General features: G+C 40.5%; 1 long non-coding RNA gene across 2 annotated transcripts in view; it reads right to left on the bottom strand.

Moving 5' to 3' along the window:
• Positions 1-6,502: 6,502 nt before the first annotated feature.
• Positions 6,503-17,234, bottom strand: part of LOC124905312 (uncharacterized) — a 35,497-nt gene continuing 24,765 nt past the window's right edge. For both annotated transcript variants that reach the window (XR_007068502.1, XR_007068505.1), the window contains exon 4: positions 6,503-7,236. This is a non-coding gene — a long non-coding RNA (uncharacterized LOC124905312). The remainder of the gene's footprint in view (positions 7,237-17,234) is intronic.

Here is a 17,234-nt window from a genome sequence, read left to right as displayed (position 1 = left end):
TCCTGATTGGTTGAGCTTCATTTCTCTTTTTTAAATAGGCAGCTACAAGAAATATTTAAGTTTTGCTTGTATTTGCAAATCAAGCAAGGTTGAGATCACTTATGAGACCTAACTAATTTCGTCTGCTCAGAGATTATTGAGACGTGATCTCCATTTTAATTTATTTTAACAAATTTTCTGTACTTTTAATTCCCATCCAAACTGTAACTTATAAATTATTATTGTTGTACATATATAGGCCCATGTTGTGTATGCTTTGAAGACATGTCCTGCTTTCAAACTCATTTGTATTATGTTATTATTGAATTTGCCCCATTTATTGGAATTATATACTGCAATCTCCCAACTACAAGAGGTATGAGTTCTGAGGAGATCACAGTAAAGATGAGTCAGAAGTGAAAACGGTTCTCCAACTCACACATGCAGTAAAAACAAATTTCACGTGGATATAATGAGTAATTATTTAAAATTTAAAATACCCTGAAAACATTAACGTTTATCTCATTACTATGTAATATGGAAATTACAAGACAAAAAAACCCAAAGACTTATTTTTAAAATAGAAATGGAGCTTTTTATATGATGAAATGGTCCATAATTTAAATGTAAAAAGTGAATAGGAAATACATGAAATAAAATAAAATTATTTGTAAAAGTGACAATGCCCGTATTAGATTTAACAATATCTTACAATGAAATAAGTTGAAACCTACAAAATAGAAGAAAGTTTAAAATTAGGCAAATATTATGAGCCAGGTGAAGAATAAATACATATATCAATAAGCATTTAATGTATTTTGTCTTAGATTTTATATGAAATAATAAAAAGTAAGCAAACCAATAGCAAGGTAATTTCACCCTGATTGATTCAAACTGAAAAAATATTAACATTTCTCCATTGGAAGTTGGATTCATGGATTGGCCTCATGCTGCATTCAAGGCACTTTAGCCAGGACCCAACACTCATTGCCAAGAGTCATCAGGCTAGAAGTTTGCTTTTAAGATGTTCCCCGGCCTGCGACCAAGACACTTTGTCTTGACTACTTCTTCAACTCTGACATAGGTTTTGCTGATATAAATGAAAACCCAGCTCTATACCTACCAAGCATCTACATGGCTAGAGCTGCACATTGAATATTTAGGCACTAGGCAAGAGGTCTTCCCAGGTTTCCAAGCAGACTTTCTAGAATTTCCCAAAAATACTGACATTGTCTTTTTCAGACCCAATCTCCCAAAGAGAATCAGAGAGATGGTCTGGAAGCCATTTAGAATCTCCAGCCTCCAATTTAGTAACAATGGACTTGGATACAAAGAGGCAACCTACTGACCTCAAAGACACCAGCCCAGATTCTGGGCATTGAATTCCTGCCTCCCCATGAAAGATCTCATCTGAGTCACATCAAAGCCCACACTCTTCTTCAACGTTCACCTTCCAGACACGCTCCAAAACAGCCCCTCAGAATTGTCTTGAGATGAAACAAAAGGTGATGAAGCTCCAGGTTTGGAATGCCTGCCTCATTCCTCACTCCTGAAAAGTCTACACCTGCTGGTTAGAACTCTCATACCTTAGGGAGCCCGGGCTCTCAGAGTGCATCCTCTAACAGGACCTCCTGGCCTTTTCCTCCTTGGAGGAGAGTGCCCAAGAATAAGAGGGAATACATGGCCTCCACTCTCACTTGACTTGATTGACTGATTAACTGATGTCTGAGGAGGAAACATATGTAGGGAACAGCCTGGGTCTTTTGAATCCCTGTTCCCCAGCTATGATGCCTGTGCAAATGGAGGGAGAATCCCAAAGTATTGTTGGGAGGTAGACAGACACTGGCTAACACAATTAAGTAAATATAAGGTGACTTGAAGGGAAATTTATCATATGTCATATACAAAATTTTAGTTAGTGAACTTTATTTAAAAACAGTCACAATTTGTAAGGGGAGTAAAGTATAATTTTAATGGGGAACTATGAAAATTATCTGCACTTGCTATGTAAATGATTGAGTTAGGGGTAACAATCTGAAGGTCATGAGCTTGATATCTGCTACTTAATTTCATAAGACATTTACTTGCAAATGGTTGTCATTTTTGCTCTCACCATATGAAAATTTTTTCTTGCTAAGAGCATTCCTATGAAAGAAAAACTAGAAATTTTGCCAATTTCGGTTATTAAAACAATAAAACTGGTTTGTTTGTTATTCTTAACCAAATGCTCCTACAGATGGCACATAGTACCCATGCTTTGATTGTTTTTTTCCCACCTTAAGTCAATTGCCTTTCATTTTATTCATCAAACTGTTTTTACTGTAGATAGACATTGCAGTTGTCATGTGCCCTATGGATTTGTACTTTATTAGAAATATGAATTCTCAGGCCGAGTATATTGGCTCACGCCTGTAATCCCAGCACTTTGCGAGGTGGAAGAGAGTGGATCACCTGAGGTCAGGAGTTCAAGAACAGCCTGACCAACATGGTAAAACCCCATCTCTCTACTATTTACAGTTCGCATTGTACCTTGCAATGAATATACATTTTATCCAAAAAGCCTAAAAAATAATGAAATTGGGGGTGGGGGCATGGCTGGAAGTATAGATAAAACAAAAATGACACATGACTAGCAGCTGTTAAAGCTGGGTGACTGGTCTGTTATACTTTTTTTGTATTGTGTATGTTTTTAGTGATCTGTAATAAAACACTTGTACAAAATGACAAAGTTTATCTACACTTAGCTCTTAAGGTCTTGGTTACCTTTGGGAAGGGGAAAGTGTCAGGGGCATGAACAAATCTGATTCTTAGATACACAAGTGTATTTATTTAGTAATAATTCATCAAACATTCCCTAAATGCTTTGTGCCTATATTGCTGTATGCATGTTATTTATCAATAAAAATGTAAAGAGTGCATGTTTGCATAACAATCCTAAATTAATATTTTAGAATAATAGCAATGTTTTGTTTTGTTTTCAAGTGGGGCGTGTTCACTCAGGACATCATCAGGTGTATGTTAATGTTCCAAGTTATTTATTTATGTTTTAACTTTTGGGTGAGCCCCCCTGGGTCTTTTAATTTTTACTTCAACACAGTAAGTAGCATGGTTTTAACTTTTTGGAATGCAGCTTTGTTTTCATCAAGGTTCTCCCCGAAGAATGATGCTCACCCAGGCCAGGGCACACAGTGACCCGTGCACAGGATGCACTGAGCACACACGGCACTGGGTGAACCAGGAACAGAAGGAGAAGCCAGCCTGGGTCTGCAAAATATACTTTGCAGGAAAAGCAGGTAAAATGGAAAGGTCACAATTCAGCAGCAAACGTTTTCACATTCATTGGAGAAATCATTTCTAACAAAAGCTGCTCGTTAAAGCCATGGTTTTCTGGCTTGCCTACACATTGTAATCACCTGCACGACTTTCAACCATATTTTTTTCAGATCCAGCTCCAAGGATTCTGATTTAGTTGTGCGGTTACAACTTGGGTTTAAGGGATTTTGAAAGTTTTCCTCCCCGCAGGTGATTCTCTTGCGCCAGGGGTAAGAAGCGCTGGATAGGGGTGAGGGATGCTTTAGCTGTGAGAGATAGCCATGTACGCTTCAGGATTTGCCCCATCGCATATCTGGAGTTCGGGGTCTTAGAAAGCTTTCTTGCCCTGTTAAAAATTAAAGGATGGCTTCAATACATACTTAGCTGCTTGGCTACATTGCAGAAAAACAAATTGCCTTTCCAGAGATCAGTTTTTTGAGACAGGGTTTTGCTCTGTCAGCCAGGCTGGAGTACAGTTGTGTGATCATGGTTCATTGCAGCCTTGACCTCCCAGGCTCAGGTGATCCTCCAGCTCCAGCCTTCTGAGTAGCTGGGACTGAAGTCATGCACCACCAGGCCTGGCTAATTTTTCAAATTTTTTTTTTTTTTTTTTTTTTTTTTTTTGTAGAGATGGCTTTCTCTATGCTGCCTGGGCTGGTCTCAAACTCCTGGTCTCAAGTGATCCTCCCACCTCAGTCTCCCTAATAGTTCGACCTACAGGCACAGGGAAGCATGCCCGGTATATTTATTAAAAAGTAGTTACCAGAATATTTAAAATTCACTTGTGCCTCTCATATTATTTCTTAGAGAATTGCCTCCCTTTTGAAATCTCAGGCTGCCTGCTCTAAAACCTGGATGTGCCAGGAAAGTAAAACATCTGAAATTTTAAAACAATTGTCATTATATTGATTCCATATATGAATAACACATATATATTATTCATTAATACAAATAATCTTACATACAAATGTAAATGCAAATATTTTACAGGCAGGGCCAGTTTCTAGTTCACAGAGGAAGCCCTGCCAGAAAAGGATCCAGGAAAAACCTATAATTCTTGCTTTATTCAACCCAGTGTCAAATCACATATGTCACTCATGGTCTGAGGCGGCAGGGTAGGGAATTGAACTACATCCAATCATGGGTCTTGGAGTGGAAACTATCTAATCAGGTGCACAGCTGGAGAAGAATGGGCAGCTTTTTGGAAGTACGGAGGCCTTGGCCTGTCTCTCCACTCAGAGCTCAGGACACTAGAGCCACCTCAACATAATCACCTGTTTTTTAGTTATTTTAACACTCCAAAAGGGAACTAGTTTTCTCATGCATTTTCCAAATGTGTGGCAGGCAGAGACTCAAATCTAACTCCCTGTTGCCCCAGCCTAACTCTGGCTTGCAATCAGATTTTAAATTTCCAGTTCTTTCCTGACACTCACCAACACTAACTAACCTTCCATAATTCACAACATTATCAACTGTTCTTTATTGTATATTTCAGACACAGTATTTCAATTCTTCTTTTTGTCAAAAAGCAGTGGATGTCATTTAAAAAAATTTTTTCTCATTTGTAAACATTTTACAGGAGATGAAAGCAGAGAATAATCCCCTGACACCCCACTGTAAAAAAAATAAATAAAAAGCGGAAAACCTTTGTGCCCCTTTGTTTAAACTTCTCTTGGCACAGACACCCCATCAGAAAGCCTTTGGGTTCAGGTTTCATTTTGGAAACTTCACAGGGCAATACATCCTCAGCCATCCTGTTATTTTCTTGGTTTTGAATTTCAAAACTGTTTGAGGATTCCCCAAGATGCCAACAGTGGCCATGACTCTTGAAGTGTCTAGTAAATAGCATCCCTTGTGTCATCTCCTCTCAGGGAACAGCCCAAGGTATGGGAATGCAGCCTCTCTGTGGAGTGGTTGTTTGAGATGTGCCTGGAAGGAATCTCTAGGTATACCCTTGCGCTAAAAGCAAACCCATTAGGTCATTAAGATTTTCTTACCCCAAAGCTTAGTTTCCATTCCTTAGAGACACATTGCAGGCCAGGCAAATGGATGCTGATATTGAGGAAAAAATGTTCTCAGATTGGTGAAGGGAGAGAAAATATTTCAAAGGACAAAGAAACCCAACCTAGTGAGGCAGTGCAAAAACCTGCAAAGTAAAATGCACCTCAGGGACACAGAGGAGCACAGGGTAGCGGCTCCTGGTAGGATGGTCATGACCCACTTCACTGAACCAGATGTGAGTGGGGAAAATATCCCAAGTAATAGAATGGCTTGACTTGACCCTTGGGTCTGATATGTCTGTGTTTCAATCGGCACTGTCACCTTCTAATTTTGTCACCTTGAAAATGTTTTTGTACTTACTTTAACTTCACTTTTTAATTAACTGTAAACTATGTTTTATCAGTAGAGCTTGAAAGGCATGAAAATATTTATAAAGCACATTAAGTTGGTGAATTTTGAATAAAATTAAGTAGTAATATATTTCACTTGTTAAAAATTGTTACTTGCCTATTTCTTTAGCAGAATGAGTGTCGTACATTTCCCAGGACTGTTTTTTATTTGTCTGAGAGGTGATTTCAAGCAGAATCTCACGGCTTACTGTTGGGAATGTTACCAGGTGTATTGATAGGGATAGTCTCTCTTCCACTACGGTGGTAGGAAATGAATACATACCTACAAGCACGTGAGGTAGATTAATTGTTAAATTACATAAATTTATCACATCAGTTATTCTTTTTTCAAAACAGAGAACTTCTGATAGTGAGTATCTCTGTTCCATATGCTGTCATCTGGGTGTTTGAGGGTAACGCTAAGTTTTAGGAGCTGGGACTTGGCACCGCCTGGAAGTGTTCACATATGATTGTTTACTAAATGATTTGTTATGAACATAATTAAATTACATGTTTATTTTCTGAAAGGGATAGATACTTTGGCTTTTCTTGTTGAGTTATAAAATGTAAGCCCCTTATAACTTTCTTTTTTAATTTTAATTTTATTTTTTAGACTTAGTGTCACTCTTGTTGCCCAGTCTGGAGTGCAATGGCACGATATTGGCTCGCTGTAACCTCCACCTCCCGGGTTCAAGCAATTCTCCTGCCTCGGCCTCCCAAGTAACTGAGATTACAGGAATACACGACCACCCCCGTTTAAGTTTGTATTTTTAGTAGAGACTGTGTTTCTTCATGTTAGTGAGGCTGGTCTCGAACTCCTGACCTCAGGTAATCTGCCCGCCTCAGCCTCCCAAAATGCAGGGATTACAGGCATGAGCCACCATGCCCGACCATAATTTCCTCTCTTTTAAACCTTAGATTTGAATGATTTTTGCTGGATTCTTCAAACATGAAGTATTTTTTAAATTGAAAACTAATTGAATGACTTTAACTGGTAAGTAGAAGTCTTAGACCGTTGACTAAAAGCTAAGGCTAACGTTGACCCTGCAAAAGGGGGCCACTGAAGGCCCAGTTGATTATTCCTGGGTGTCTGCCCTGCAGACATCAAAGTCTGCTCACACCAACCATAGAAGGAGCCTTTGTCACTGTCAGAAGATACAGAGCTTTGGTAAGCTGGAAGTTGACAGGCAGATGCAGTTGGGGTTGAGATTGAAGAAAAGTTGGGATATTCTTTCTAGAATGGAGTTTTTATTGTCCTGAGACTGTTTATAGACTTTGTCTAAGAAGTTACTTAAGAAGTGTTGTAACAAGGAAAAAGTACAAATGATTAGATCTTTGAGGATCTCAAAGGTTAGGTGGAAAAGGGTTTTATTTCATAGGGAGGAGAAAATAAGTTTACAAAGAAGGTTGGAAAGGAAGCACAGGATGGAGGGTAGCAAAATCAGATCCCAGATAAGATAATGTTTCATCTTGAAGTCAGCCTGTTCTTAGGAGGGATATGTATAAATATGGGTTGTAGGTTCTCTGAGGCTGTGGGTGAGTCAAAGTTCAGGGGCTGAGGGAAGAAGGGGAACAAGCAAAGTTTTGTTAACAAGTACTCTGTTTTGACCACTGAAGACTAAATTACAGAATGGTTGTTCATTTTTAAAAATAGGAATTTGTAATCTGTGTCCGTCTTTGTGATAGGTTAAAAAAAAGGGGGGGGGGGAACATCCACAAAGTCATAATGGGAAGCACGTTTCTCTTCACTAAGCTGTTCTTTGAGAACACAAAGAATGGGGGAATTTCTTTAAATATAGCTATTTCCAGGATTACCTTCACCCACAACTGTTCCTTTTCCTAGACATCTCTTTCATTTGTCAGTTTCTGAGTTGTATTTTTATAATAAAGTGGTAAATATAATTAGACTTATTTGTTGAGTTTTTTTGAGTAACTCTATCAAATTATTTAACTTGAAAAGGGGTTTATGGGAGTCTCAGATTTATAGGCAGTAGCTCAGAAGTATAGATGGGCTTATGGGACATGTGACTAACCTCTGCAGTGAGAGGGGTGATGTGGGACTTAGCCCTGAATTTGTGGGATCTGTGCGAACTCTAAGTTGTGTCAGAATTAAATTTTGGGGCAAGAAATGGGTGTTGGAGAAGCAGTGGGTTTTCAGGGAACTTTACACATTTAGGATCAAAAGTGTTGTAAGGAGAAAGACAATGTGGGGGCCTTTGCTGGAGAGAGACTCCAGGTGTCTCGGGGAAGGTAGGCTCTGCTCTGCACACAGGCTGCTACGCCATGCACTGCCCTGTGGTTCCAGGCATCCTCCCATGGTAAGAAGGACCGACGACTCTGAGGGAAGAAGTTCTGAGAACAGATGCCTTCTACCCTCCTGCCAACCTGAGGCCACCACATGTTTTTCACCCACTGAACATACACACTGCATGTTGACGTGGTCAAGCCCCTCTCAGGACAAGGCTTTGGCATCAAGATTGTTGCCCATCCTACCTTTCCTCATAGACTTTCCCACCAAAAACCCACACACGTGCCTACAAGACCCCTGGCATATGTTCTACTTCAGACACCGAATCTGCAGTGGCAACCTGGTTTTTTCACCATCGCAGATTTCTGTGCCACCTGATCATAATCTCGTCTTCCTGCATGAACATAGAAATAACTCAGAGAAAAGTTTCACCTGGGTCAGTGTCTGTAGCATGAACCAGTCCTCCCACCAACCCTGTACAGTCTCTCACTTCTGGTTTCTTAATAGCACCTTCCCCTCTTTTACCTTTTAGTTCACCTCAAACCCTTTCTTTTATGTGCACACAGTGTGCCCAAGGCCACCCCTCAGTTGCCTGAATCCAGCACCTACCAAAATTCAGATGTCCAGTAGTTCAAGACCATGGGCCTAGACTAAGTTTTTGCAGAAGGCAATACAAATTAGAAATGAGAGGCTCTATTCTCCCATTTGAAAATAAAAAAAAGATTTTTTTCTTTTCCTTTTTCTTAAACAATGTAATCTGGAAAACTTTAATTAGTAATTTTTTGAGGCAGAATCTTACTCTTTTACTTAGCCTGAAGTGCAACGGCATAATCATAGCTCACGGTAACCTTAACCTCTTGGGTTTGAGCAGTCCTCCTGCATCAACCGCTTAATTACCTAGGACTATAGGCATGAACCACCATGCCTGGCTAGCTTTATTTATTTTTGTTTTTATTTTTTTTCAAGACAGTGTCTTGCTCTGTGGGCTAGGCTGGAGTGTAGTGCCATGATCTTGTCTCAATGCAACCTCCACCTCCCAGATTCAAGCAATTCTCCTGTCTCAGCCTTTTGAGTAGCTGGGATTACAGGCGCACACCACCATGTCTGGCTAATTTTTTGTTATTATTATTTTTAGTAGAGAATGGGTTTTACCATTTTGGCCAGGCTGGTCTCCACCCCCTGACCTCATTATCCACCTGCCTCAGACTCCCAAAGTGCTGGGATTACAGGTGTGAGCCAACATGCCCAGCCATATTTATTTTATTTTTTTGTAGTGACAGAATTTCACCATATTGCCTGTACTGGACTCAAACATTTGGCTTGAAGGTATCCTCATGCCTTGGCCTCCCCAAATGTTCAGATTACAGGCATGAACCACCATGAGTGGCCTGGAACACTTTTACATGTACCTTTTTTTCTCTGCTTCTTTGAAATATAAGCAAATCATTTTAACAGCTAAATAAGCCTTCTGTCATTCTTCATGACAGAGAATTGTCTTTATCTAAGACCTGGAAACTATTGCTTTGTTTTTTAATTTGGCAAAGATTTATTTATTTTTTATTTTCAGTCCTTTGAAGTAGGCACAGCGCAGTACAGTGGCTCATGTTTTTAATCCTAGTGCTTTGGGAGGCTGAGATGAGAGAATTGCTTGGGCCCAGGAGTTTGAGACCAGCCTGGGCAGCATAATGAGACACTTTCTTTATAACAAATTAAAATCAACTAGCAGGGCATGGTGGCACAGGAGGCTGAGGTGAGAGAATCATTTGAGCTCAAGAGTTTGAGGCTGCAATGAGCCATGATCACTCCAATCTACCACTGTATTCCAGCCTGGATGACAGAGGGAGACCCTGTCTCTAAATAAATAAGCAAATAAAAAAATGTGTTTTTCCATACATAAAAATAAGTTAATAAACAGATAAATAAAATAGACATGGATTTGCTTAGAATAAAGCTAATTATAAGATAACAGAAAAGTGAGCACCAAAGATGGGGTTCACCTTAGCAAGTGATTCCAGCCTATTAGGACACTCACAGAATTCTCCCTGCAGCATGACCAACATGAAAGTAGAATGTCATCATGTCAGGCTATACCAGCGTCGGAAGACTAAACACTGTGGGGAAGAACCTCCCTTATGGAATATTATCAACAGGTGAGAGACCAGCTCCTGCCCTGATGGGCTACAGAGATGAATTCTTGAGATAACACATTGCAGAAACATGCATAGAGTAGTTTAACCTTTTTTGTGTGTAACCCTTTCTCCATTTTCCTGCAAAATCCTCCCTAGAAATAGTGTTCGCTTTTAAGTTTTGAGGGTCTGGTAGGACTGAAGCTGCATGCTGCAGGAGATACCTGGGGTAGGAAACTAACACAAACTGCAGCTACAGGCACAAATACTCATGGCCTAATGTAAAGTGAAAACAATAGAAAGGTCTTTACTGTTATTCACCCAAGTGAGTGAACAGAGACTTTCCACATAACCAACTTGCCACTGAGACTAATGAAGGCCAGATTCCACTGGATCAAGACTATGAGTTACTCATGGGAAGATCATAGGACACAGCCCAGAGAGTTTTCATACTGGAGTCTGGGTACTGGGTCTGTCCCGGTCTTCTCGGGTTTCTGTCTGTAGAGACCCCTATGTGGCTGCTCTTACCACAGCCCGGTGCTGGCTGTGGTTGCTGGCTTAGTGCACCTGGTCTTTTTCCAAAAAGAGGGAGGAGTTGGCCACATCAAGAAGCTCCTCATCAATCTGAATGCAGCTCTGTAAAAAGTGCCTAGAAACCACGCAAAGAAAAGTCAGTGGTCTGCCTTGTTTTCACCGTATGTGACACCTCCACTAGAAATTCTGCTTTTCTCTGCACTCCAGCCTGGGTGACAGAGCGAGGCTTCCTCAAAAAGGAAAAAAGAAAAAGAAAAAGAGAGAAAGAAAGACAGAAGGAAGTAAGGAAGAAGAAAGAAAGAAAAAGAAAGAAAGAAAGAGAAAAAAAGAAGAAAGAAAGAAAGAAAGAGAAAGAAAGAAAGAAGAAAGAAAGAAAGAAAGAAGAAAGAAAGAAAGAAAGAAGAAAGAAAGAAAGAAAGAAAGAAAGAAAGAAAGAAAAAGAAAGAAAGAAAGAAAGAAAGAAAGAAAGAAAGAAAGAAAGAAAGAAAGAAAGAAAGAAAATAAAAGAGAAAAGAAAAGAAAAGAAATTCTGCTCTTCAGATTAGGCACATAAGGAGAATCTGTATGAATCTCCAGCAAGGAAGGAAACCAGAGGACAAGTTAAAGTCTTGGAATTCACATCTGAGTACACAGACTCGTTCTCCAACCCTCTTCTTTTTATTCTGCCAGCTATGGCCTAGGTATGAACATGACAGGTACACAAGGGTTCCAACACCTGACAATCTGCTTCAGTAAAAGAAGAGTGCCCTCCCTCTTGCTCCCCATACAACTCATGGTACTAAGAAATGGTGTGGGACTTCCCAGATGAGTTGACAAGAGAGGCCTGGCTCTGGGGCCTGTCCTGAGCTGCCCTGTGTTATTTGTAGGTGCACCCGGCCAATAGCCAGGGGCATCAATGATGAGGCCTGAGTTGACATCCGTGTTTTCAGATAAGGCTTTTACACTGAGCCTTTGTAAAGTCAAAACTCAGAAATTTCAGGGCACAATGAAAGAACATCTCACTCTCTTGAGCATCTCTCACTAACAGAGGTGGATACAGAGCTGTCTCAAGAATGTGGGTTCCTGGTTTCTTAACTGATGTTGGGTTGTCACCAAGAAAGTGTGTTAAACTCTTCAAGGTTCCATCTACTGGGTCCCTTCTTTCTGTAAGACCTACCCAAAAGCCCCACTATGCTACTAATTGCTCAGTCTCCTCTTCCATGTCAACTCTTCATTTGTACACAAGTATGCAAACACAACTTCCCCTTAATTCCCTGGAAAGAACTAAATGCAGCCTGGGTTCCAGGATATAAGAGACAGCTGGAACATAACCTTGTTTTTCTTACCATCTCTGGGACCCAATAAAAGTCACTGTGTATTTGAGGCTTCCCCAGCCTCCAAGCATGCACAGTGGGGATGATGCTAACATCTACTTCCTAGGGATTGTATTAGATGTATATAAGATAAAACATAAAAATCATGTGGTGTTACCTGTAGATAATGCACACACTTAGAGATGGAAGCATTAGGAGAATATGTAGAAGGTAGCATGGGCCACAACTCAAACAAGCCTGGGTCTGGCAGGGTGATCTTGGGAATGTCACTTCTCCACTGCGCTTCATTTTCATTCTGCTCCAGTATGAAGTTGAAATTAAATGTAGATACTGTCCTCTGGCATTCATATAGTTTAGCTGTGTGTTCCACCCAAACTTCTCTGTGTATTATAACCCCCAGGTGTTAAGGGAGAAACCTGAGGGGAGATGATTGGATTATGGGGATGGGTTCTCCTCATGCTGTTCTTGTGATAGTGAGTTCTCATGAGATCTGATAGTTTCATAAGCATCTGGTACATCCCATGCTCTCACTCACTTCACTTGTCAGCCACTGTAATTGGAAGGTTTCTGAGGTGCCCTCCCAATTATGTGGAACTGTGAGTCAATTAAACTTCTTTTCTTTATCAATTACCCAGTCTCAAGTACTTCATCATTGCAGTATGACAAAGTCCTAATACAGCCATTCAACTTTCTAGTGCTTTCTCTTTATATTTAGAATCATATCCATGTGCCTTCTCACGTCTATGACAGGGAAACTCTTCACAAAATCTCACAGTACTAGGTGGTTAGTGACTCAGTTTTTTATTGAATAAAATGGCCTACAGCCTGATGACAGTAATATGGCCCTTGGGTTTTGAGGAAAATATCATGTTGTAGGTTGGCCAAAAAGGAGATAGCAGTCCAGCTGAAATTTGTTTTCTTATACTGGCTTTAAGGCAGTGATTAGAAAAGGCCTAAGAGGTGGGTTCTGTAAGGGATTGCTGGAAGGAAAGTAGGAATATGGAAAGTCATGAGACATATACTGTCATCTCTTCTTGCTTCCTCTCAAGTCACATGCAAATTCAGGGAGAGTTAGTATGAAACACACAATGGAAATTTGGGCTCTAACATATGCAATCTGATTCTTCATGGACTTCATTTGGCCATATCAGTTCCAACAATTTCAGCCAATGTTTAAAAATCTTATAAGCAGATAACATTTTAGTGTTTCAACAAGCCATTTCCTATCTTTCATTCTGAAAATCCATTTTAAGTCATTTTTTTAACAGCATAGGGGTACAAATTCAGCTTCTGTCCAATGAAATACAGAAAAGGATATCACTTTTGTATTAGTTCAGGCTGCTATGCCAAAGAACCATAGATAAGCAGCTTATAGACAACAGGACTTAATTTCTCATACTTCTATAGGTTCGAAATTTGAGATCAGGTTGTCAGCACGGTTGAGCTCTGGTGATGACTCGCTTCTGAATTTCAGACTGCAGACTTCAAGTTTTACCATCATTTTGCAGAAGGAGGAAGAGAGCCCTCTGCGGTTCCTTGTATAAAGCCAGTAATCTCTATTATGAAGGTCCCACCCTCAGGAGTTAAGTACATCTTTCATCCGTATAGCATTACAACGGGGGTTACAATTTTAACATAAATACAGGAGAAAAATTATTGGAACTCTCAAGATTTTTGTTTCCTTTTTTTTTTTTTTGAGACAGTTTCACTCTTGTATCCCAGGCAGGAGTGCAGTGGTGTGATCTCGGCTTGCTGGAACCTTCGCCTCCCAGGTTCAAATGATTCCCCTGCGTCAGTCTCCCAAGTAGCTGGGATTACAGGCATGCACCACCACACCTTGCTCATTTTGTACTTTTAGAAGAGACGGTGGTTTCACCATATTGTCCAGGCTGCTTTCAAACCCCTGACCTCAGGTGATCCACCCGTCTCAGCATCCCAAAGTGTTGGGATTACAGGTGTGAGCCACCGCACCCTGTCAAGATTTTTCTAAAGCTCTCATTTTTCTCCTACTGGGTTTTTCCTGTTTGCGCCCTCAATCTTTCTCTGTCTCTTTTTGTGTACACCTTTTTGTCTAATTCTCTCTCTCTATTGTATACCTCAAACACAGGAAGCAAGCTTCAATGCTATGAGATGCTCCATGTAAAGACCAACATAACAGAGCCTGAGGGGGTGCTCAGACCAGTAGAGAGAAGGAAAGTCAGGCTCTCCAGCCACACTAAACCCTGCCAATTTTCACATGAGTCAGCTTAAAGGCTCATGCTTTCCCAGTCCAGCTTCAGTTAAGACCACAGTCCCAATGTCATAAAAGACCTAAAGGCAGAGGTACCCAACTGAACTGTGTCCAGATTCTGGTCCACATAAATTATGAGATATTATATGTTGTTGAAAAGTGCTGACTTTTAGGGCAATGTTGTCAGAAAGGAGCAGATATCTAACCTCATCTCCCAGGCCCTAGGATTCTCCATCCCTCTACTTATATCTTCCTCAGGCTGTCTGCAGCCAAACTTTCTAACCTCTGCCGAACTCACACCTATGAGTCTCTTCACTAAGGGTGGCTTCTCCCTGACACATACTTGTGCAGAGATGTCTCCCTGTTGTCATCCTTATCATGGATTAAACATCACCACAATGAGGCCTTAGTTCCTCCCATGCAATAATTTTCCAGCTTTTCTTCTCAACATTCCACTTTATATTATAGTCCTTCCTCTTTTCTTTCACATATACTTGCTTTAGTGCTTTTATCCAGCTGTCCTCAGAATGTTTGGTCCTGGGTTGGGGGGTGCAGGCATCATGTAATAATTTTCTGTACCACGTTGCACCCACCTGGTTAGCTGGCAAAGGGTGAGCGCAAGGGAAAAAAGACTGGCTAAGTGATTATATGGAGGATCTCTAATATCCCTTCCTCTTTTGACCACCTGATAATGTGGAGATCATTGATAACAACATGAGATGTGTGACTCTTACTTGTTCCAGCTGCTCCAGCAAAGCTCAGTGGGCACCAGAAACAGAGCTGGCTGTAACCACCTCCAGGCCATCACTAACTCTATGGCCCAATGCAGGAGCACTATGGAACAAATCAGGTATCTTGATTTTTCTGTCCTCAAGACACTGGTTCTTCAAGGTCCTAGGGGATAAAGTAGCAGAATCTGAAGGCCCCAAGTACAATGAGTGACCTTGGAATCCCCCTTTGCCTTCTATTTGCCTCTACCTTTTGGGTTGTGCTATTTATCCATGAGATATCCTCCCCTTATCCAGTGAAATTAGTTTCTACCACTTTCAAATGAGGACCTTAAGAACCCAACAGGAGCTGGGATTTTCCGTGGACTTCAGCCTCAGAGTCCAATGCTCTGGAACATTTAGCTCCGTCTCATCTTCATCTACCCAAGATGCCTCTGAAGTGGCCATGCCTCCCTCTGATTTGAAGGACCTACAGAGAGTGGATGCATTTCTGCACAGTCTCAGAGCAAGAATCAGGGCTGGAAGACACTTATGAGTATGTGAAATCGTCGAGGTCACCCAGTTCAAACAGCCCTATTTATGAGGAAGAAAACAGGCTTTCCTGCAGGCATTCTCTACATTACGCTGAGGTGGAGCATAGCTCATTTTACTTCCAGGTGCCCTCAGAGCTGGATGCAAAACCCCAGTCCTGTCATCTTGAAATTGACATGGAGAGGTCCCCATGTGAACAGAACCCTGGATCTGCTCATTCTCTGTGCCCCTGAATGTGAAGCTACAGGCTCTAACTTCCAAAGCAAACCTGATAGGTGGGATGGAGCCAAGGCCTAGGAAGCTGGAGCTCTCTCTAATGCTCTGGAGCCTGCCCACCTCCTGAGATCTGGATCAGTCCCTGCCTCTTTTGGGGCCTCATTTTCCCAATTGTAATGTAATGAGAAATTAAATGTAAAATTGCATAAGCATATGCTCTGTGAGAATTTGGTGTCAGAGTCCTCAATACTGGATGATATATTTTGGTGGGAGGGGTTTGGGCCCCAGAGGTTCTCGGGACTCCTGACATATCCATTGCAGTAGGTGTAGAGCTCAGGAGATCCAGATCTTCTTTCCTGAGCCAGCTGATTACAATACAATGGACCACGGGCTATGATCTTAAATATGATTTCACAGGATTCCCCACCTTCAGCCACCATCTGCTCTGTGCTTCCCTTATTTTGGGGAGCTGATGACAACCTCCATTATAGTGAGAGAGTCCAAGAAACTAGACTTGTGGACCTGGAGAAAAGAAAAAAACACTTTTCTATTTCTCTCAAACTGTAGAATCTGTTGTCAAATATTTAATTTTGATTCCATCTGAGCTTGATAATACGTTCATGTGTTAAGAGCTGCTTAAATTTATTTTTTCTGTGGTGTGGGATAATGTCTTTTCCCATATTTTAAATCAACTTCTAAAAGCTCTCTTTAAAGTGGAGATGTGAACATCTTTGTGATATAAACTGCACATATTTGTTGCGAGATTGTTCTTTTTCTCTTTGTTAAAATGTTTTGTTTTATTCTGGTTTGGATGTCCTTCAGGGTTTTGTTTTGTGGCTATTTATTACTACAATGCAACTTCTCCCCTAATTGACTGACAGGTTTGTACATTCTCAATAAAATCTTTTGGTAAAGTCTTTGTAAAAACTGTGTAAACAATTTTACAGTTTTCATAAACATAAAACAGTCAAGACTGTCATGATGAAAAAGAAAGATTGAGGGCTTAAAAATTAAAATATGACACAGCTAAAGTAGTGTGCAAAGGGAAATTTATGGCACTAAATGCCCACAAGAGAAAGCAGAAAAGGTCTAAAATCGGCATCATAATATCACAATTAAAAATCTAGGGAAGCAAGAGCAAACAAATTCAAAAGCTAGCAGAAGACAAGAAATAATTAAGATCACAGCAGAACTGAAGGAGATAGACACACAAAAAGCCCGTCCAAAAAATCAACGAATCCAGGAGCTGTTTTTTTGAAAAGATCAAGAAATAAATAAACTGCTAGCCAGAGTAATAAGGAAGAAGAGAAGAATCAAATACATGCAATAGGAAATGATAAAGGGGATATAACCATTGATCCACAGAAATAAAAATTACCATTAGAGAATATTATAAAAAACTCTTTGCAAATTAACTAGAAAATCTAGACGAAATGGATAAATTCCTGGACACATATACCCTCCCAAGTCCAAACCAGTAAGAAGTCGAATGCCTGAATATGCCAATAACAAGTTCTAAAATTGAGGCAGTAACTAATAGCCTACCAACCAAAAGAAGTCCAGAACCAGAAGGATTCACAGCCGAATTCTACCAAAGGTACAAAGAGGAGCTGGTACCATTCCTTCT

This window comes from Homo sapiens, unplaced genomic scaffold (genome assembly GCF_000001405.40).
Source record: "Homo sapiens unplaced genomic scaffold, GRCh38.p14 Primary Assembly HSCHRUN_RANDOM_CTG1".
Taxonomy (NCBI): Eukaryota; Metazoa; Chordata; class Mammalia; order Primates; family Hominidae; genus Homo; species Homo sapiens.
The sequence above is the reverse complement of the archived record's forward strand: the minus strand, read 5'-3'. Positions and strand labels throughout refer to the sequence as shown.